Source organism: Homo sapiens, chromosome X (assembly GCF_000001405.40).
Source record: "Homo sapiens chromosome X, GRCh38.p14 Primary Assembly".
NCBI classification, from domain to species: domain Eukaryota; kingdom Metazoa; phylum Chordata; class Mammalia; order Primates; family Hominidae; genus Homo; species Homo sapiens.
The window spans coordinates 74,859,667-74,883,360 of record NC_000023.11 but is presented as its reverse complement, the minus strand read 5'-3'; the positions used below and the strand labels follow the sequence as shown (position 1 = coordinate 74,883,360).

Below are 23,694 nucleotides of genomic sequence, written 5' to 3'. Positions count from 1 at the left end.
CCTTCTTTAGCTCGGAGTAGTTTGGTCTTCTGAAGCCTTCCTCTCTCAACTCGTCAAAGTCATTCTCCATCCAGCTTCTTCCGTTGCTGGTGAGGAGCTGCTTTCCTTTGGAGGAGGAGAGGCACTCTGATTTTTAGAGTTTCCGGTTTTTCTGCTCTGTTTTTTTCCCTATCTTTGTGGTTTTATGTACCTTTGTTCTTTGATGATGGTGACGTACAGATGGGTTTTTGGTGTGTATGTCCTTTCTTTTTGTTAGTTTTCCTTCTAACAGTCAGGACCCTCACCTGCAGGTCTGTTGGAGTTTGCTGGAGGTCTACTCCAGACCCTGTTTGCCTAGGTATCAGCAGTGGTGGCTGCAGAACAGCGGATATTGGTGAACCGCAAATGCTGCTCCCTGATCATTCCTCTGGAAGTTTTGTCTCAGAGGAGTACCCAGTTGTGTGAGGTGTCAGTCCACCCCTACTAGGGGGCGCCTCCCATTTAGGCTACTCAGGGGTCAGGGACCCACTTGAGGAGGCAGTCTGCCCATTCTCAGATCTCAAGCTGCATGCTGGGAGAACCACTACTCTCTTCAAAGCTGTCAGACAGGGACATTTAAGTCTGCAGAGGTTATTGCTGTCTTTTGTTTTTCTGTGCCCTGTCTCCAGAGGTGGAGCCTACAGAGGCAGGCAGGCCTCTTTGAGCTGTGATGGGCTCCACCCAGTTCGAGCTTCCTGGACACTTCGTTTACCTACTCAAGCCTGAGCAATGGTGGGCGCCCCTCCCCCAACCTCACTGCCACCTTGCAGTTTGATCTCAGACTGCTGTGCTAGCAATGAGTGAGGCTCCGTGGGCGTAGGACCCTCCGAGCCAGTTGTGGGATATAATCTCCTGGTGTGCTGTTTGATAAGCCCGTTGGAAAAGCACAGTATTAGGGTGGGAGTGACCCGATTTTCCAGGTGCCGTCTGTCACCCCTTTCTTTGACTAGGAAAGGGAATTCCCTGACCCTTTGCACTTCCCGGGTGAGGCGAAGCCTTGACCTCCTTCGACTCACGCACGGTGCACTGCACCCACTGTCCTGCACCAACTGTCCAGCACTCCCCAGTGAGATGAACCCGTTACCTCAGTTGGAAATGCAGAAATCACCCATCTTCTGCGTCGCTCACGCTGGGAGCTGTAGACCGGAGCTGTTCCTATTCGGCCATCTTGGCTCCACCCCACCACATTTTCTTTATCCAGTCTATCATTGATGGATATTTGGGTTGGTTCCAAGTCTTTGCTATTGTGAATAGGAATTTTCTTAGCAAATATGAAAATTTGCTGAGAGAGGAAGTGTGCAAAATGGTTTGGCAGGAAATCACACATGGAAGGGCCCAACTGGGTCACTTTGTGTTTGAACACTACATGGGAGACTATGTTGAAATCCTAGATTTCAACAATCCTAGATTAGACCATCACGGAAAAGACTCACTACTAGGTGGCAGAGGCCCTTTCCTGTTGCTCAGAGGGACTTCTAGTCGTGAAAACCCATAACCTCCTCCTTGACTGTGTACTAGAAGCACTGCTAAGTGAAACTGGTTAATTCTGCATCTATTTTTGTAATGTGGCAATTTACATGCTGATTGGAGCCAGGCTGTGGGAATGTTTTTGGTCTAAGGCCATGGTTCTCATGGTGGAGAATTTTGCCATTTAGGACATTTGGCAATGCCTGGAGACATTTTTAGTCACAAGTGGGTTGGGGGGTGCTACTGGCTTCTAATGGGTAGAGGACACAGATGCTTCCAAACCTCCTAAAATTCACAGGGCAGCTCTTCCCTACACCACACATACAAAAAGAAGTACCTGACCCAAGATGTCAACAGTACCTGGATTGAGAAACACTGGTTTAAGTGAAGAAGCCTGGGTCTCAGAGAATTATTTGTATTTAGTCTCTGCCTTTTTCCCCTGTATTTGCTCTGTGTGTGTGTGTGTGTGTGTGTGTGTGTGTGCATGTGTATGTGTGTGTGTGTGTTGGAATTTATCCATTTAAGTAAATGTAGGAAAGCCCTCAGAGTACCTTAAGAGTATCACTGTGCTATGAAGAAATGATTGTGCTTTACAGTGAACTTGAGGGGAGATTCACTTGGGGTACCAGGCTCCCCAAAGGTTGTAGGTACAGCACACATGCCTGAAAACACAGAAACATCTGCCAACACTCACCTGGGTGTGTCTTTTTGTCTCTATCTTTCTTTTCTCTAGCAATTTCCAAACTTTATAGGCCTCAATTCTTACTTGAGGAGTGAGCAGCAGGGGTTACTGTCAGTTTTAGGGCATACATCTGGCGAGAAGTGCCTCAAAGCTGTCTGCAGAAGTGCTTTTGGGGTTTGAGGATGGCTTGGGTTCTTTCTTTTAAATAGGTGGAGCTGAGATGAAGGATGAGGGACAGTGTTCATGATCGTTGTTTAGGCTCTTCTCCAACTGTCATATTTCTTATGTGTCAAAGGATACTGTGACAAACCCAGTCACTGATGTTGGGAATGTGAGGGATCTAAGGAGAGAGCAGTGTATATGGGAAGAAGAAGTACAGCCATTTGATGTGCAGAAGGAATGTCTGAGCATCTGGGTATGTGTTTGCAGTTTTGTATTTTGGCTCCAATTCAAGCCCCTTTCATTTTGTATGATAAATAATTTCTTTTCTACACCTAATTTCCATTGACTAATGGTGATTAATCTTCAACTTTGACATTAGAGATAACAAGTGATGCTCATTCCATTAGGCTTTACCAAAATGCTGGTATTTGAGTAGAAACAAAGACTGGGATAACAATTGCTTGCATTCATTGTGGCCCTAAAGTAATTGTGAACCCTTGTAAAGCCTCTACTTATGGTGCACAGAATTGTAACGTTTGTAATGTAGGGGTGGGGCTCTGAGAATTACCAAATGTTATAACCAAGGGCAGGTGTTGGTAAAGTCCTGGAAAACTGGCCCCAGTTTCCTCCTTCCCTCTTCTCTTAGGCCATCATCATGAAGTCACATGAAATTCATGAGTGGCACAATGCTGAGCTACGAGTTCCATTGCTGGTGAAAGAGGGTGGTTCAGTCTGTCTGTGGAAGTTATGTTTGATTTCCACCTCTCCTTTGCTCATCCCTCTGACTTTGTGTGGAGTTTCTCCACTGGGGTGTAGAGAGTGTTTATTCACAATAAGTGTAACGTAAGGTGATGTGGAAATGAGTAGTCCTCTAATTATAGAGTGACTTACATAAAAACTATGCCATTGGAAATAGATGCATTTAAGTTCCTAAAGGTCAGGAGGTATGGTTGAGCCTGGCAGCCATTAGCAAATGTGATACAGTTCAATGGTGAGTACTTACGAGTTTATACATGTATACATAATATTGGGGATATGTCATTGGTATGTTAATTAGAGAATGCGTTTGAGTATCAATGTATGATCATTTCCCCATTATCGATGACAATGGAAAAAAGCAGTAGTACAAATAATCCCAAGCGTTAGGTGATTTTAAAATATTTTCTATCAAGTTTGAGTGTTTTATTATGATTTTTTTAACTGAGGTTCACCTATATATGTCAACAGACTATGGAAAGTCATAGTGAGGTTAAAAAGAAAATATGAAGTAATTATATCAAATAGTCCACAAAGGAAAACATTCTGAAAAGTGAATAGTTCAATTAGGTGGCCTATAAATGTTAAGACCAGTGTTCGGCAACAGCTCAGTTTCAGACCCCCATTCCAAATGTCAGTACATTCTTGAAATGGGAGTGGTCTTTACTATGTATGCTTTGTACACCTTTCCTGAAATTTGCTTCCAGGTGTTCTTGTATATTAAATACCACAGCCTTGATCTTTAAATGATGACAAATTGTCCAAATGTATTAACTTTTCCCCTTTATTTTTCTCTTTGCTTTATTCTCAGTAACCTCTTTTCTCTAATTCTTACATTAACATATAAATAAAATAATTCCAGATGAATTCATCATAGATGATAATTATAACGTGTTCAGGTGTGGATCTCTTTGAATCTATCCTACTTGGAATTTGTTGAGCTCCTTGGATGTGTAGATTAATGTTTGTCATCAAATTTTGAAAGTTTGGCTATTATTCAATACAGTCATGCATCACTTAAAAATAGGAATACTTTCTGAGAAATGTGTTCTTCGGAAATTTAACCCTTGTACCAACATCATAGAGTGTACTTACACAAACGTAGATGATTTAGCCTACTACACACTTAGGCTATGTGGTATAGCCTATGGCTCCTAGGCTACAAACCTCACAGCATGTTACTGTACTGGATACTGTAGAAAATTGTAACACAGTGGTATTTGTGTGTGCAAACATATATAAAAAGATAAAAAATAATGCGAGGGAGGAGCCAAGATGGCCGAATAGGAACAGCTGCGGTCTACAGCTCCCAGCATGAGCGACGCAGAAGACGGGTGATTTCTGCATTTCCATCTGAGGTACCGGGTTCATCTCATTGGGAGTGCCAGACAGTGGGCGCAGGTCAGTGGGTGCGCGCACCATGCGCGAGCTGAAGCAGGGCAAGGCATTGCTTCACACGGGAAGCGCAAGGGGTCAGGGAGTTCCCTTTCCTAGTCAAAGAAAGGGGTGACAGACGGCACCTGGAAAATCGGGTCACTCCCACCCGAATACTGCGCTTTTCCAACAGGCTTAAAAAACGGCGCATCAGGAGATTCTATCCTGCACCTGGCTCGCAGGATCCTACGCCCACGGAGTCCCGCTGATTGCGAGCACTGCAGTCTGAGATCAATCTGCAAGGTGGCAGCGAGGCTGGGGGAGGGGCGCCTGCCATTGCCCAGGCTTGCTTAGGTAAACAAAGCAGCCAGGAAGCTTGAACTGGGTGGAGACCACCACAGCTCAAGGAGGCCTGCCTGCCTCTGTAGGCTCCACCTCTGGGGGCAGGGCACACACAAACACAAAGACAGCAGTAACCTCTGCCGACTTAAATGTCCCTGTCTGACAGCTTTGAAGAGAGCAGTGGTTCTCCCAGCACGCAGCTGGAGATCTGAGAACGGGCAGACTGCCTCCTCAAGTGGGTCCCTGACCCCTGACCCCTGAGCAGCCTAACTGGGAAGCACACCCGAGCAGGGGCAGACTCATACCTCACACGGCCGGGTACTCCAACAGACCTGCAGCTGAGGGTCCCGTCTGTTAGAAGGAAAACTAACAAACAGAAAGGACATCCACACCAAAAACCCATCTGTACATCACCATCATCAAAGACCAAAAGTAGATAAAACCACAAAGATGGGGAAAAAACAGAACAGAAAAACTGGAAACTCTAAAAAGCAGAGCGACTCTCCTCCTCCAAAGGAACACAGTTCCTCACCAGCAATGGAATAAAGCTGGATGGAGAATGACTGACAAGCTGAGAGAAGAAGGCTTCAGACGATCAAATTACTCCGAGCCAGGGGAGGACATTCAAACCAAAGGCAAAGAAGTTGAAAACTTTGAAAACAATTTAGAAGAATGTATAATTAGAATAACCAATACAGAGAAGTGCTTAAAGGAGCTGATGGAGCTGAAAACCAAGGCTCGAGAACTACGTGAAGAATGCAGAAGCCTCAGGAGCCGATGCGATCAACTGCAAGAAACGGTATCAGTGATGGAAGATGAAATGAATGAAATGAAGCGAGAAGGGAAGTTTAGAGAAAAAAGAATAAAAAGAAACGAGCAAAGCCTCCAAGAAATATGGGACTATGTGAAAAGACCAAATCTACGTCTGATTGGTGTACCTGAAAGTGACGGGGAGAATGGAACCAAGTTGGAAAACACTCTGCAGGATATTCTCCAGGAGAACTTCCCCAATCTAGCAAGGCAGGCCAACGTTCAGATTCAGGAAATACAGAGAACGCCCCAGAGATACTCCTCGAGAAGAGCAACTCCAAGACACATAATTGTCAGATTCACCAAAGTTGAAATTAAGGAAAAAATGCTAAGGGCAGCCAGAGAGAAAGGTCGGTTACTCTCAAAGGGAAGCCCATCAGACTAACAGCAGATCTCTCAGCAGAAACTCTACAAGCCAGAAGAGAGTGGGGGCCAATATTCAACATTCTTAAAGAAAAGAATTTTCAACCCAGAATTTCATATCCAGCCAAACTAAGCTTCATAAGTGAAGGAGAAATAAAATACTTTACAGATAAGCAAATGCTGAGAGATTTTGTCACCACCAGGCCTGCCCTAAAAGAGCTCCTGAAGGAAGCGCTAAACATGGAAAGGAACGACCTGTACCAGCTGCTGCAAAATCATGCCAAAATGTAAAGACCATCAAGACTAGGAAGAAACTGCATCAACTAACGAGCAAAATACCCAGCTAACATCGTAAAGACAGGATCAAATTCACACATAACAATATTAACTTTAAATGTAAATGGACTAAATGCTCCAATTAAAAGACACAGACTGGCAAATTGGATAAAGAGTCAAGACCCATCAGTGTGTTGTATTCGGGAAACCCATCTCACATGCAGAGACACACATAGGCTCAAAATAAAAGGATGGAGGAAGATCTACCAAGCAAATGGAAAACAAAAAAAGGCAGGGGTTGCAATCCTAGTCTCTGATAAAACAGACTTTAAACCAACAAAGATCAAAAGAGACAAAGAAGGCCATTACATAATGGTAAAGGGATCAATTCAACAAGAAGAGCTAACTATCCTAAATATATATGCACCCAATACAGGAGCACCCAGATTCATAAAGCAAGTCCTGAGTGACCTACAAAGAGACTTAGACTCCCACACATTAATAATGGGAGACTTTAACACCCCACTGTCAACATTAGACAGATCAACGAGACAGAAAGTCAACAAGGATACCCAGGAATTGAACTCAGCTCTGCACCAAGCGAACCTAATAGACATCTACAGAACTCTCCACCCCAAATCCACAGAATATACATTTTTTTCAGCACCACACTACACCTATTCCAAAATTGACCATATACTTGGAAGCAAAGCAGTCCTCAGCAAATGTAAAAGAACAGAAATTATAACAAACTGTCTCTCAGACCACAGTGCAATCAAACTAGAACTCAGGATTAAGAATCTCACTCAAAACCGCTCAACTACATTGAAACTGAGCAACCTGCTCCTGAATGACTACTGGGTACATAATGAAACGAAGGCAGAAATAAAGATGTTCTTTGAAACCAACGAGAACAAAGACACAACATACCAGAATCTCTGGGACACATTCAAAGCAGTGTGTGGAGGGAAATTTATAGCACTAAATGCCCACAAGAGAAAGCAGGAAAGATCCAAAATTGACACCCTAACATCACAAAGGAACTAGAAAAGCAAGAGCAAACACATTCAAAAGCTAGCAGAAGGCAAGAAATAATGAAAATCAGAGCAGAACTGAAGGAAATAGAGACACAAAAAAACCTTCAAAAAATTAATGAATCTAGGAGCTGGTTTTTTGAAAGGATCAACAAAATTGATAGACCACTAGCAAGACTAATAAGGAAAAAAAGAGAGAAGAATCAAATAGACACAATAAAAAATGATAAAGGGGATATCACCACCGATCCCACAGAAATACAAACTACCATCAGAGAATACTACAAACACCTCTACACAAATAAACTAGAAAATCTAGAAGAAATAGATAAATTTCTGGACACATACACTCTCCCAAGACTAAACCAGGAAGAAGTTGAATCTCTGAATAGACCAATAACACGCTCGGAAATTGTAGCAATAATCAATAGCTTACCAACCAAAAAGAGTCCAGGACCAGATGGATTCACAGCCGAACTCTACCAGAGGTACAAGGAGGAACTGGTACCATTCCTTCTGAAACTATTCCAATCAATAGAAAAAGAGGGACTCCTCCCTAACTCATTTTATGAGGCCAGCGTCATCCTGATACCAAAGCCTGGCAGAGACACAACCAAAAAAGAGAATTTTAGACCAATATCCTTGATGAACATTGATGCAAAAATCCTCAATAAAATACCAGCAAACCAAATCCAGCAGCGCAGCAAAAAGCTTATCCATCATGATCAAGTGTGCTTCATCCCTGGGATGCAAGGCTGGTTCAATATACGCAAATCAATAAATGTAATCCAGCATATAAACAGAACCAAAGACAAAAACCACATGATTATCTCAATAGATGCAGAAAAGGCCTTTGACAAAATTCAACAACCCTTCATGCTAAAAACTCTCAATAAATTAGGTATTGATGGGACATGTTTCAAAATAATAAGAGCTATCTATGACAAACTCACAGCCAATATCATACTGAAGGGACAAAAACTGGAAGCATTCCCTTTGAAAACTGGCACAAGACAGGGATGCCCTCTCTCACCACTCCTATTCAACATAGTGTTGGAAGTTCTGGCCAGGGCAATGAGGCAGGAGAAGGAAATAAAATGTATTCAATTAGGAAAAGAGGAAGTCAAATTGTCCCTGTTTGCAGATGACATGGTTGTATATCTAGAAAACCCCATCGTCTCAGCCCAAAATATCCTTAAGCTGATAAGCAACTTCAGCAAAGTCTCAGGATACAAAATCAATGTACAAAAATCACAAGCATTCTTATACACCAACAACAGACAAACAGAGAGCCAAATCATGAGTGAACTCCCATTCACAATTGCTTCAAAGAGAATAAAATACCTAGGAATCCAACTTACAAGGGATGTGAAGGACCTCTTCAAGGAGAACTACAAACCACTGCTCAAGGAAATAAAAGAGGACACAAACAAATGGAAGAACATTCCATGCTCATGGGTAGGAAGAATCAATATCGTGAAAATGGCCATACTGCCCAAGGTAATTTACAGATTCAATGCCATCCCCATCAAGCTACCAATGACTTTCTTCACAGAATTGGAAAAAGCTACTTTAAAGTTCATATGGAACCAAAAAAGAGCCCACATCACCAAGTCAATCCTAAGCTAAAAGAACAAAGCTGGAGGCATCACGCTACCTGACTTCAAACTATACTACAAGGCTACAGTAACCAAAACAGCATGGTACTGGTACCAAAACAGAGATATAGATCAATGGAACAGAACAGAGCCCTCAGAAATAATGCCACATATCTACAACTATCTGATCTTTGACAAACCTGAGAAAAACAAGAAATGGGGAAAGGATTCCCTATTTAATAAATGGTGCTGGGAAAACTGGCTAGCCAGATGTAGAAAGCTGAAACTGGATCCCTTCCTTACACCTTATACAAAAATCAATTCAAGATGGATTAAAGACTTAAACGTTAGACCTAAAACCATAAAAACCCTAGAAGAAAACCTAGGCATTACCATTCAGGACATAGGCATGGGCAAGGACTTCATGTCTAAAACACCAAAAGCAATGGCAACAAAAGACAAAATTGACAAATGGGATCTAATTCAACCAAAGAGCTTCTGCACAGCAAAAGAAACTACCATCAGAGTGAACAGGCAGCCTACAAAATGGGAGAAAATTTTTGCAACCTACTCATCTGACAAAGGGCTAATATCCAGAATCTACAATGAACTCAAACAAATTTACAAGAAAAAAACAAACAACCCCATCAAAAAGTGGGTGAAGGACATGAACAGACATTTCTGAAAAAAAGACATTTATGCAGCCAAAAAACACATGAAAAAATGCTCATCATCACTGGCCATCAGAGAAATGCAAATCAAAACCACAATGAGATCACCATCTCACACCAGTTAGAATGGCAATCATTAAAAAGTCAGGAAACAACAGGTGCTGGAGAGGATGTGGAGAAATAGGAACACTTTTACACTGTTGGTGGGACTGTAAACTAGTTCAACCATTGTGGAAGTCAGTGTGGTGTTTCCTCAGGGATCTAGAACTAGAAATACCATTTGACCCAGCCATCCCATTACTGGGTATATACCCAAAGGACTTTAAATCATGCTGCTATAAAGACACTTGCACACGTATGTTTATTGTGGCATTATTCACAATAGCAAAGACTTGGAACCAACCCAAACATCCAACAATGATAGACTGGATTAAGAAAATGTGGCACATATACACCATGGAATACTATGCAGCCATAAAAAATGATGAGTTCATGTCCTTTGTAGGGACATGGACGAATGTGGAAATCATCATTCTCAGTAAACTATCACAAGAACAAAAAACCAAACACCGCATATTCTCACTCATAGGTGGGAATTGAACAATGAGAACACATGGACACTGGAAGGGGAACATCACACTCTGGGGACTGTTGTGGGGTTGGGGGATGGGGGAGGGATAGCATTGGGAGATATACCTAATGCTAGATGACGAGTTAGTGGGTGCAGCGCACCAGCATGGCACATGTATACATAAGTAATGAACCTGCACATTTTGCACATGTATCCTAAAACTTAAAGTATAATAATAATAAATTAATTAATTAAAAAAAAACCAAAACAATTTTAAAAAAAATAAAAACTAAAAAAATAAAAAATAAAAAAATAAGGCATTGCACTACAGCATTATGGCAGCTAGTGTGTCAGTAGGTGACAGGTATTTTTCTACTCCATTATAATATTTTTAAAAAATTGTTTATTTTTAAATTTTTGTTGACACATAGTAGGTATGTATATGTTTATGGGTTACATGAGATATTTTGATACAGGAATGCAGTGGGTAATAACCACATCAGGGTATATGGGCTAGCCATCACCTCAAGCATTTATCCTTTGTGTTATAATTTAATTATACTGTTTTAGTTATTTTTAAAATGTATAATTATGTACATTTAAATATAGTAAATATTGTGACTGTAGTAAAACATAATTTACTACAGTCACAATATTTACTATATTTACTAAGTGACTATAGTAAATTACTTTTTACTATAGTCAGTCTGATGTGCTAGCAAATACTAGGTCTTATTCATTATTTCTGATTTTTTGTAACCACTAACTGTCATTTCCCCCCACCACCCCCCACCCACACACTACCCTTAACATCCTCTGATAACCATCCTTCTGCTGTCTATCCCTATGTGTTAAATTATTTTGATTTTTAGCTTCCACAAATAAGTGACAGCATGTGAAGTTTGTCTTTCTGTGCCTGGTTTATTTCACTTAATAGAATGACCTCCAGTTCCATCCATGCTGTTGCAAATGACAGGATCTCATTCTTTTTATGGCCCAGTAGCACTCCATTATGTAGATGTAACACATTTTTGTTGCGGGAAGTCAGGGACCCTGAACGGGGGGACCGGCTGAAGCTGTAGCAGAAGAACATAAATTTTGAAGATTTCATGGACATTTAGCAGTTTCCAAAGTTAATACTTTTATCATTTCTTAGGCCTGTCTTTACTGCAGTCTCTGAACGTGAATTGTGAAGATTTCATGGACATTTATCACTTCCCCAATTAATACTCTTATAATTTCTTATGCCTGTCTTTAATCTCTTAATCACATTATCTTTGTAAGCTGAGGATGTATGTCACCTCAGGACCCTGTAATGATTGCGTTAACTGTACAAATTGTTTGTAAAATGTGTGTTTCAACAATATGAAATCTGATTGTGAAACAAGGGTGTTTGAACAATATGAAACCAGTGCACCCTGAAAAAACAGAATAATAGCAATTTTCAGGGAAAAAGGGAAGATAACCATAAGGGCTGACTGCCTGTGGGGTCGAGCAGAATAGAGACATATTTTTCTTCTCACAGAAAGCCTATAGATGGATGTGCGAGTAGGAGAAATATTGCTGAATTATTTTCCCAGCATGGAGTAACCCTCAGGAAGGAATGCATTCCTGGGGGTAGGTCTATAGATGGCTGCTCTGGGAGTGTCTGTCTTATGCGGTTGAGATAGGACTGAAATACGCCCTGGTCTCCTGCAGTGCCCTCAGGCTTACTAGGATTGGGAAATTCCAGCCTGGTAAATTCTAGTCAGACCAGTTGTCTGCTCTCGAACCCTGTTTCCTGTTAAGATGTTTATCAAGACAATGTGTGCACAGTGGGACACAGACCTTCATCAGTAATTCTAATTTTTGCCTCTGCCTTTTGATCTTTTATTGCCCTTTGAAGCATCTGATCTCTGTGACCTACTCCCTGTTCGTACACCCCCTCCCCTTTCAAAATCCCTAATAAAAACTTGCTGATTTTGCAGCTTGAGGTCACCATCATGGTCCTACCAATATGTGATGACACCCCCGGAGGCCCAGCTATAAAATTTCTCTCTTTGTACTCTTTTTGTTTATTTCTCAGACCGGCCGACACTTAGGGAAAATAGAAAAGAACCTACATTGAAATATTGGGGGCTGGTTCCCCCGATACATTTTCTGTATCTATTCATCTATTGATGGACAGGTAGGTTGCATCCAAATCCTGGCTATTGTGAATACTGCTGCAATAAACACAGGAGTACCAATATCTCTTCGATGTACCATTTTCCTTTCTTTTGGGTATACACCCAGCAGTGGGATTGCTAGATTTTGTGGTAGCTCTATCTTTAGTTTTTTGAGGACCCTACAAACTGTTCTGCATAGCGATTGTACTAATATATAATACATTCCCACCAACAGTGTAAGAGGATTCCCTTTTCTCCATATTCTCACCAGCATTTGTTATTGCCTGTCTTTTAGATAAAAGCCACTTTAACTGGTGTGAGATGATATCTTATTGTAGTTTGATTTGCATTTCTCTGATGATTGATGATGTTGAGCCATTGTACCTGTTTGCCATTTGTATGTCTTGTTTTGAGAAATGTCTGTTCAGATCTATGGCCCATTTTTTATTCAGATTATTAGATTTCTTCCTGTAAAGTCGATTGAGCTCCTTATATATTCTGGTTATTAATCCCTTGTCAGATGGGTATTTTGCAAATATTTTCTCCTGTTCTGTGGGTTACCCTTTCACTTTGTTGATTGTTTCCTTTGCTGTGCAGAAGCTTTTCAGCTTGATGTGACCCCATTTGTCCATTTTTGCTTTGGTTGTCAGTGCTTGTGGGGTATTACTCTAGAAATCCTTGCACAGACTGATGTCCTGGAGAGTTTCCTCAAGGTTTTTAGTGGATTCATAGCTTGAGGTCTTAGATTTCAGTCTTTAATCTATTTTGATTTGATTTTTGTATATGATGAGAGATGGGGGGTCAAGTTTCCTTTTTCTGTATATGGATATCCAGTTTCCCCGCACCGTTTATTGAGGATACTCTCCTTTCTCCAATGTATATTCTTGGCACCTTTGTCAAAAATGAGTTCACTGTGGATGTATGGATTTTCTTGAGGTTCTCTATTCTGTTCCACTGATATATGTATCTGTTTTTTATGACAATACAGTGCTCTTTTGGTTACTATAGCTCTGTAGTATAATTTGAGAAATTAATATAATGTGATTCCTTCAGATTTGTTCTTTTTGCTCAGGATAGCTTTGGCTATTCTGGGTCTGTTTTGGTTCCAGATAAACTTTAGGATTTTTTTTTCTATTTCTGTGAATAATGTCATTGGTATTTTGATAGGGATTGCATTGGATCTGTAGATTTATTTGGGTAGTATAGACATTTTAACATTATTGATTCTTGCAATCCATTAACATGGATATATCTTTCCATTTTTTGGTGTCCTATTCAATTTTTTGCATCAACGTTGTATAGTTTTCATTGCACAGATATTTCACTTCTTTGGTTAAGCTAATTCCTAGGTATTTAATTTTATTTATAGCTATTGTAAATGGAATTATTTTCTTTATTTCATTTTCAGATTGCTGTTGGCATATAAAAATATGACTGATTTCTGCATGTTGATAGCATATTCTGCAACTTTACTGAATTTGTTTTTCAGCTCTAATTGTTTTTTGTGGAGTCATTAGTTTTTCCAAATATAAGATCATATCATCTGGAAATAAGGATATTTTGACTTCTTCATTTCCAATTTGGATGCCCTTTAGTTCTTTCTTTTGTCTGATTGCTCTAGCTAGGACTTCCAGTAATATGTTGAATATCAGTGGTGATAGTGGGCATCTTTGTCATGTTCCAGATCTTAGAGGAAATGCTTTCCATTTTTCCTCATTCAGTATGATACTAACTTTTGGTCTGTCATAGATGGCTTTTATTATTTTGACATATGTTCCTTCTATCCCCAGTTTTTTGAGGGTTTTTATCATGAAGGTATGTTGAATTTTGTTAAATGCTTTTTCAGCATCCATGGAAATGATCACATGATTTTTGTCCTGTATTCTATTGCTACAATGTATGATATTGATTGATTTGCATATGTTGAACCACCCTTTCATTCCTGGGATAAATCTCAGTTATAATAAATGATCTTTTTAATGTTTTGTTGAACTTTGCTAGTATATTGTTGAGGATTTTTGCATCAATATTCATCAGTCATATTGTTTTATAGTTTTCTTTTTTGATGTGTCATTGTCTAGTTTTGGTATCAGGGTAATACTGGCCTTGTACAATGAGATTGGAAGTATTTTCTTCTCCTCTATTTATTGGAATAGTTGGAGTAGTATTGGTATTAGTTCTTCTTTAAATGTTTGGTAGAACTCAGCAGTGAAGCCATCAGGGTCATTGGCTTTGCTTTGCTGGGAGACTTTTTATTATGGCTTCGAACTCATTACTTTTTTTTCTAATTTTAATTTAATTTTATTTTATTTTAAGCTCTGGGATACATGTGAAGGATGGGAGGTTTGTTACATAGGTAAACATGTGCCCTGGTGGTTTGCTGCACCTATCAACCCATCACCTAGGTATTAAGCCCCACATGTATTAGCTATTTATCCTGATGCTCTTCTTCCCCCCCACCCCCCAACAGGCCCCAGTGCATGTTGTTCCCCTCCCTGTGTCCATGTGGTCTCATTGTCCAGCTCCAACTTATAAGTGAGAACATGTGATGCTTGGTTTTCTGTTCCTGTGTTAGTTTGCTGAAGATAATGGCTTCCAGCTCTATCCATGTCCCTGCAAATAACATAATCTTGTTCCTTTTTATGCCTGCATAGTATTCAATGGTGTATATATACCACATTTTCTTTATCCAGTCTATCACTGATGGGCATTTGGGTTGATTCCATGTCTTTGCTATTGTGAATAGTGCTGCAATTAACACATGCCTGCATGTATGTTTATAATAGAATGATTTATATTCCTTTGGGTATATACCCAGTAACAGGATTGCTGGGTCAAATGGTATTTCTGGTTTCTAGGTCTTTGAGGAATTGCCATACTATCTTCCACAATGGTTGAACTAATTTACATTCCCACCAACAGTGTGAAAGTGTTCCTATTTCTGCACAGCCTCACCAGTATCTGTTGTTTCTTGACTTTTTAATAGTCACCATTCTGACTGGCATAAGATGGTATCTTATTGTGGTTTTGATTTGCATTTCTCTAATGATCAGTGCTATTGAGCTTTTTTTCATGTCTCTTGGCCATGTGAGTGTCTTCTTTTAAGAAGTGTCCATGTTCTTTGCCCACTTTTTAACGGGATTTTCTGTTTCTTATAAATTTGTTTAAGTTCCTTGTAGACTCTGGATATTAGACCTTTGTCAGATGGAGAGATTGCAAAAAATTTCTCCCATTCTGTAGGTTGTCTCTTCACTCTGATGATAGTTTATTTTGCTGTGCAGAAGCTCTTTAGTTTAATTAGATCACACTTGTCAATTTTTACTTTTGTTGCCATTGCTTTTGATGTCTTTGTCATTAAATCTTTGCCTGTGTCCAAGTCCTGAATGGTATTGCTTAGGTTGTCTTCCAGGTTTTATATAGTTTTGGGTTTTACATTTAAGTCTTTAGTCCATCTTCAGCATATTTTGTATATGGTGTAAGGAAGGGGTCCAGTTTCTATCTTCTGCACATGGCTAGCCAGTTATCTCAGCACCATTTATTGAATAAGGATTCCTTTCTTCATTGCTTGTTTTTGTCAAGTTTGTTGAAGATCAGATGGTTGTAGATGTGTGGTCTTATTTCTGAGATCTCTATTCTGTTCCATTGGTCTATGTGTCTGTTTTTGTACCAGTACCATGCTGCTTTGGTTACTGTAGCCTTGTAGTATAGTTTGAAGTTGGGTGGCATGATGTGATGCCTCCAGCTTTGCTCTTTTTGCTTAGGATTGTCATGGCTATACGGGCTCTTTTTTGGTTCCATACGAATTTTAAAGTAGTTTTTTCTACTTTTGTGAAGAATGTCAATGGTAGTGTAATGGTAATAGCGTGGAATCTATAAATTACTTTGGGCAGTGTGGCCATTTTCATGATATTGATTCTTTCTATCCATGAGCATGGAATGTTTTTTCATGTTTGTGTCCTTTCTGATTTTTTTGAGCAGTGGTTTGTATTTCTCCTTGAAGAGGTCCTTCACTTCCCATGTTAGCTGTATTCCTAGGTATTCTATTCTCTGTAGTAATTGTAAATGGGAGTTCATTTATGATTTGTTTCTCCCCTTGTCTATTGTTTGTGTATAGGAATGCTTGTCATTCTTGCACATTGGTTTTGTATTCTGAGTGTATTAGTCCTTTCTCATGCTGCTATAAGGACATACCCGAGACTGGGTAGTTTATAAAGCAAGGAGGTTTAGTGGACTCAATAGTTTCACATGGCTAAGGAGGCCTCACAATCATGGCGGAAGGTGAAGGGGGAGCAAAGGCACATCTGACATGGCAGCATGCCAGAGCACATGTTCAGGGGAACTGCCCTATATAAAACCAACAGGCTTTTTGAGACTTATTCACTATCATGAGAACAGCATGGTAAAAACCCACTCCCATGATTCAATTATGTCCCACCAGGTCCCTCCCACCACATATGGTGATTATGGGAGCTACAATTCAAGATGAGATTTGCGTGGGGACACAACCAAACCATATCATTCCACCCTTGGCCCCTTCCAAATCTCATGTTCTCACATTTTGAAACCAATAATGCCTTCCTAACAGTCCCCCAAAGTCTTAACTCATTCCAACATTAACTTAAAATTCACAGTCCAAAGTCTCATCTGAGACAAGACAAGTCCCTTCCACCTATGAGCCTGTAAAATCAGAAGCAAGTTAGTTACTTCCTAGATACAATGGGTGTGCAGGCATTGGGCAAATACACCCCTTCCAAATGGGAGAAATTGGCCAAAACAAAGGGGCTGCAGGCTCTATGGAAGTCCAAAATCCAATCAGGCTGTCATTAAACCTTAAAGTTCCAATGTGATCTCCTTTGACCCCATGTCTCACATCCAGGTCACACTGATGCAAGCAGTGGGATCCCACGGCCTTGGGCAGCTCCATCCCTGTGGCTTGGAAGCATATAGCCCCCTCCCAGCTGCTTTCACCGATTAGCTTTGAGTTTCTGTGGCATTTCCGGGAACATGGTGCAAGCTGTCGGCAGATCTACCATTCTGGGTTCTGGAGTACAGTGGCCCTCTTCTCACAGCTCCACTAGGCAGTGCCCCAGTGGAGATTCTGTGTGGGGACTTCCACCCCATATTTGCCTTCCACAGTTCTCTAGCAGAGGTTCTCCATGAGGGCCCCACCCCGGCAGCAAACTTCTGCCTGGACATCCAGGCATTTCCATACCACCACTGAAATCTAGGCAGAGGTTCCCAAACCTCAATCCTTGAACTTCTGTGTACCCACAAGCTCAACAACACATGGAAGCTGCCAAGGTTTTGGGCTTGAACCCTCTGAAGCCATGGCCCAAGCTGTACTTTAGCCATGGCTAGAGAGGCTGGGATGCAGGTCTCCAAGTCCCTAGGCTGCACATAACAGAGGGGCCCTGGACCTGACCTAAGAAACCATTTTTCCCTTCTAGGCCTCCAGGCCTTTGATGGGAGGCTCTGCCATGAAGGTCTCTGACATGGCCTGGAGATGTTTTCCCCATTGTCTTGGTGATTAACATTCAGCTCCTTGTTATTTATGCAAATTTCTGCAGGAGGCTTGAGTTTCTCCCCAGAAAATGGGTTTTTCTTGGCAGGCTGCAAGTTTTTCAAACTTTTATGCTCTTCTTCCTTTTGAATGCTTTGCAGATTAGAAATTTCTTCTGCCAGATACCCTAAGTTATCTCTCTCAAGTTCAAAGTTCCACAGATCTCTAGGGCAGGAGCCAAATGCCACCCATCTCTTTGCTAAATCATAACAACAGTCACTTTCCCTCCAGTTCCCAACAAATTCCTCATCTCCATCTAAGACCACCTCAGTCTGGATCTTATTGTCCATATCACTATCAGCATTTTGGTCAAAGCCATTGAACAAGTCTCTAGGAAGTTCCAAACTTTCCCACATCTTACTACCTTCTTATGAGCACTCCAAACTGTTCCAACCTCTACTTACTAAGCAGTACAAAAGTTGCTTCCACATTTTCAGGTATCTTAATAGCAGTACTCCACTCTACTGGTACCATTTGACTGTATTAGTCCATTTTCCTACTGCTATGAAGAAATACCTGATGGCCGGGTATGGTTGCTCATGCCTGTAATCCTGGCACTGTAGGAGGCCAAGGTGGGCAGATCACCTGAGGTCAGGAGTTCAAGACCAGTCTGGCCAACATGGTGAAACCCAGTCTCTACTAAAAATATAAAAATTAGCTGGAGGTGGTGGTGGGTGCCTATAGTCCCAGCTACTCAGGAGGCTGAGGCATGAGAATTGCTTGAACCCAGGAGGCTGAGGTTGCATTGAGCCAAGATCATACCACTGCACTCCAGCCTGGGCAACAAGAGCGAAACTCCATCTCAGAAAAAAAAAAAAGAAATACCTGAGACTGGGTAATTTATAAAGGAAAAAGGTTTAATGGACTCACAGTTCCCCATGGCTGGGAAGGCCTCACAATCATAGTGGAAGGCAAAGGAGGAGTAAAGGCACGTCTTACATGGCAGCAGGCAAGAGCACATGTGTAGTGGACCTGCCCTTTATAAAACCATCAGATCCCTTGAGACTTATCCACTATTATAACAACAGCATGGGAAAAACCTGCCCCCATGATTCAATTACTTCCAACTGGGTCCCTCCCACATGGGGATTATGAGAGCTACATTCAAGATGTGGTTTGGGTGGGGACACAGCCAAACCATATCACTAAGACTTTGCTGAAGTTGCTTATTAGCTTAAGAAGCTTTGGGGCTGAGACGATGGGGTTTTCTAGATATAGAATCATGTCATTTGCAAACAGACAGTTTGGCTTCCTCTCTTCCTATTTGAATACCCTGTATTTCTTTCTCTTGACCGATTGCCCTGGCCAGAACTTCCAATACGATATTGAGTAGGAGTGATGAGAGAGGACATCCTCGTCTTGTGCCAGTTTTCAAATGGAATGCTTCCAGCTTTCATGAATTGCTCTTATTATATTGATGTATATCCTTTCAATACCTAGTTTATTGAGAGTTTTTAACATGAAGGGATGTTTAATTTTATTGAAGGCCTTTTCTGCATCTATTGAGATAATCAATGTGGTTTTTGTCTTTAGTTCTGTCTATGTGATCAGTTATGTTTATTGATTTGCTTATGTTGAACCAGCCTTGCATCCAAGGAATGAAGCTGACTTGATTGTGGTGAATAAGCTTTTTGATGTGCTGTTGGATTTGGTTTGCCAGTATTTTACTGAGGATTTTTGCATTGCTGTTCATGAGAGATATTGGCCTGAAGTTTTCTTTTTTTATTGTATCTCTGCCAGGTTTTGGTATCAAGATGATGCTGGCCTCATAAAATGAGTTATGGAGAAGTCCCTCCTTTTCAATTGTTTAGAATAGTTTCAGAAGAAATGGTACCAGCTCCACTTTGTACCTTTGGTAGAATTCAGCTCTAAATCCATCTTGTCCTGGGCTTTTATTTATTACTACCTCAATTTCAGAACTTGTTATTGGTCTATTCAGGGATTCAACTCCTTCCTGGTTCAGTCTTGGGAGGGTGTATGTGTCCAGGATTTTATCCATTTTGTCTAGATTTTTTAGTTTATTTGCATAGAGGTGTTTATATTAAATAGTATTCTCTGATGGTTTTTTGTATTTCTGTGGAGTCAGTGGTGATATCTTTATCATTTTTGTTGTGTTTATTTGATTCTTCTCTCTCATTAGTCTAGCTAGAGGTCTATCTATTTTATTATTTTTTTGAAGAAACCAGCCTCTGGATTCATTGATTGTTTGAACAGTTTTTTGTGTCTCTATCTCCTTCAGTTCACTCTGATCTTGGTTATTTTTTGTCTTCTGCTAGCTTTGAAGTTTGTTTGCTCTTGGTTCTCTAGTTCTTTTAGTTGTGATGCTATGGTGCTGATTGGAGACTTTTTTTTTTTTTTGAGATGTAGTCCTGCTCTGTCACCCAGGCTGGAGTCCAGTGGCATGGACTCAGCTCACTGCAACCTCTGCCTCCTGGGTTCAAGTGATTCTCATGCCTCAGCCTCCCGAATAGGGGGGACTACAAGCACATGCCACCACACCCGGCTAAGTTTTGTATTTTTTTGTAGGGACCGAGTTTCACCATGTTAGCCAGGCTGGTCTCAAACCCCTGACCTCAAGTGATCCATCCACTTCAGCCTCCCAAATTGCTGGGATTACAGGCATGAGCCACTGTGCCTGGCTTTCTAGCTTTTTCATATGGGCATATAGTGCTATAAATTTCCCTTTTAACACTGCTTTAGCTGCGTTCCAGAGATTCTGATATGTTATCTGTTTGTTCTCGTTGGTTTCAAAGAACTTTTTGATTTCTGCCTTAATTTCTTTATTTACCCAGTAGTCATTCAGGAGCAGGTTGTTCAATTTCCATGTAGTTGTGTGACTTTGAGTGAGTTTCTTAATCTTGAGTTCTAATTTGATTGTGCTGTGGTCTGAGCGACTGTTTGTTATGATATCAGTCCTTTTGCATTTGCTGAGGAATTTTTTACTTTCATTTATGTGATCAATTTTAGAGTAAACGCCATGTGGCACAGGGAAGAATGTATATTCTGTTGTGTTTTGGTGGAGAGTTCTGTAGATATGTATCAGGTCCACTTGGTGAGCTGAGTTCAAGTCCTGAAAATTTTTGTTAATTTTCTGTCTCGATGGTCTGTATAATATTGACAATGGGGTGTTAAAGTCTCCCACTATTATTGTGTGGGAGTGTAAGTCTCTTTGTAGGTCTCTAAGAACTTGTTTTACGAATCTGGGTGCTTCTGTATTGGGTGTATATATATTTACAATAGTTAACTCTTCTTGTTGAATTGATCCCTTTACCATTATGTAATGTCCCTCTTTGTCTTTTTTTATCTTTGTCGTTTTAAAGTCTGTTTTGTCAGAAACTAGGATTGTCACTCCTGTCTTTTCTGCTTTCCATTGGCTGGGTAAATTTTCCTCCATCCCTTTATTTTGAGCCTATGTGTGTCTTTGCACGTGAGATGGGTCTCTTGAATACAGCAAAGCAATGGGTCTTGACTACCCAGCTTACCATTCTGTGTCTTTTAATTTGGGCATTAGTCCATTTACATTTAAGGTTAATATTGTTATGTGTGAATTTGGTCCTTTCATCATGATGCTAGCTGGTTATTTTGCAGACTTGTTGATGTAGTTGCTTCATAGTGTCATTGGTCTTTGTAATTCAGTGTGTTTTTGCAGTGGCTGGTATTGATTTTTCCTTTTCATATTTAGTGCTTCATTCAGGAGTTCTTGCAAGGCAGGTCTGGTGGTGATGAATTCCCTAAGCATTTTCTTGTCTGAAAAGGACTTTATTTCTTCTTCACTTATGAAGCTTAGTTTGATCAGATATGAAATTCTGGGTTGGAAATTCTTTTCTTTAAGAATGTTGAATATTAGCTCCCAATCTCTTCTGGCTTGTAGGGTTTCTGCTGAGAGATCCACTCTTAGTCTGATGGACTTCTCTTTGTAGGTGACATGGCCTTTCTCTCTGACTGCCCTTAACATTTGTTTTCATTTTGAACTTGGACAATCTGATGATTATGTGTCTTGGGGTTGATCTTCTCATGGAGTATCTTATTGGGTTTCTCTGGGTTTCCTGAGTTTGAATGTTTGCCTGTCTTGTTAGGTTGTGGAAGTTCTCCTGGATGATATTCTGTAGTATGTTTTCCAACTTATTTCCGTTCTGTCTCTGTCTCTTTCAGGTACCCCAATTAGTCGTAAGTTCAGTCTTTTTACATAATCCCATAGTTCTCAGAGGTTTTGTTCATTCCTTGTTATTCTGTTTCTTCTAATCTTGCCTGCCTGTCTTATTTCAGCAAGATAGTCTTCAAGCTCTGAAATTCTTTCTTCTACTTGGTCTATTCAGTTACTGATACTTGTGGTTGCATTATGAAGTTCTTATGTTGTGTTTTCAGCTCTATCAAGTTATTTGTGTTCCTCTTTAAACTGGTTATTCTGGTTAACAGCTCTTATAATGTTTTATCATCGTTCTTAGCATCTTTGCTTTGGGTTAGGACATCCTTTTTTAGCTCCGATTTTGTTTATTTGTGCGTTCTCTCTTTTTCTGAGTTATTCTAACTAAAGGTTTGTCAGTTTCATTTATCTTTTCAAATAGCCAGGTTTTGGTTTTGTTGATCTTTTGTTATTGTTTTCTTTATTTCAGTTTCATTTGTTTCTGCTCTGATCTTTCTTATTTCTTTTCTTCTACTAATTTTGGGTTTGGTTTGCTCTTCTCTAGTTCATTAAGATGCATCATTAGGTTGTTTATTTGAAGTTGTTCTTCTTTTTTGATGTACACACTTATAGCTATAAACTTCCCTCTTAGCACTGCTTTGGCTATATCTCATTGGTTTTTATATGTTGTATTTCCATAATCATTTGTTTTCACTCTATATTTGAATTTTTTCTTAATTTATTCATTGACCATTGGTCATTCAGGAGCATGTTGTTTAATTTCCATGTGTTTGTATAGTTTCCAAAATTATTCTTATTTATTTCTAGTTTTATTCCATTGTGGTGGAGAAGATGCTTGATATAATTTCAATTTTTGAATGTTTTAAGACTTGTTTTGTGACCTAACATATGGTCTCTTTGAGAATGATATTCATGTGCTGAAGAAAAGAATATATATTCTGCAGCCATTGGATGAAATGTTCTGTAAATATCTGTTAGAGCCATTTGGTCTATTGTGCAGAATAAATCAGATGTTTCTTTGTTCGTTTTTTGTTTGGGAGATATGTCCAATGCTGAAAGTGATTTGTTGAAGTCTCTAGATTTTATTGTATTGGAGTCTATTTCTTTCCTTAGCTGTAATAATATTTGCTTTATATATCTGGGTGCTCCAGTATTGAGTGCATATATATTTAAAATTGGTATATCCTCTTGTTGAATTAACCCTTTATCATTTTATACTGACTTTCTTATAGGTGAAGTATGTTTCTTGTAGGTCATAGATCATTGGGCCTTTTTAAAAATTTATTCAACCACTCCTTATCTTCTGACTGGAGAGATTAGTCCATTTACAGTCAATGTTATTATCAATAAGTAGGAACTTACTCTACCATTTTGTTACTTCTCTGCTGGTTGTTTTGTGGCCTTCTCTTTCTTCCTTCTTTCCTTCCTGTCTTGCTTTTGGTGAAGGTAATTTTCTTAGGTGGTGTTATTTAATTCCTTTCTTTTTATTTTTTGTGTATCAATTATATGTTACTTGATTTGAGGTTACCACGAGGCTTTTTAAGCTGACAACAACATAGCATTGTTTCCATAAACAAACAAGCAAGCAAAATGTAAACTAATAAACACTCTACCCCTTAACTTCATCCTCCCGCTTTTTAACTTTTTGTTGTTTCTATTTATATCTTATTGTATTGTGTCTTGAAAAGTTGTTGTAGTTATTATCTTTGATTGGCTCAT

At 39.9% G+C, this 23,694-nt stretch overlaps 1 protein-coding gene across 1 annotated transcript in view, besides 2 other annotated features; it reads left to right on the top strand.

Annotated features, from left to right (window-relative positions):
- The window catches only part of NEXMIF (neurite extension and migration factor), a 192,597-nt gene that overhangs the window by 42,092 nt on the left and 126,811 nt on the right, over positions 1–23,694 (top strand). The window lies entirely within an intron of this gene.
- Positions 4,184–4,727: an enhancer, noted in NCBI's record as "H3K4me1 hESC enhancer chrX:74098469-74099012 (GRCh37/hg19 assembly coordinates)". NCBI's record gives its function as "activates a minimal SCP1, AML or CMV promoter by ChIP-STARR-seq in naive H9 embryonic stem cells {active_cell/tissue: H9 hESC(naive)}" and the evidence as "EXISTENCE:reporter gene assay evidence [ECO:0000049][PMID:30033119]".
- Positions 4,728–5,271: an enhancer, noted in NCBI's record as "H3K4me1 hESC enhancer chrX:74097925-74098468 (GRCh37/hg19 assembly coordinates)". NCBI's record gives its function as "activates a minimal SCP1, AML or CMV promoter by ChIP-STARR-seq in naive H9 embryonic stem cells {active_cell/tissue: H9 hESC(naive)}" and the evidence as "EXISTENCE:reporter gene assay evidence [ECO:0000049][PMID:30033119]".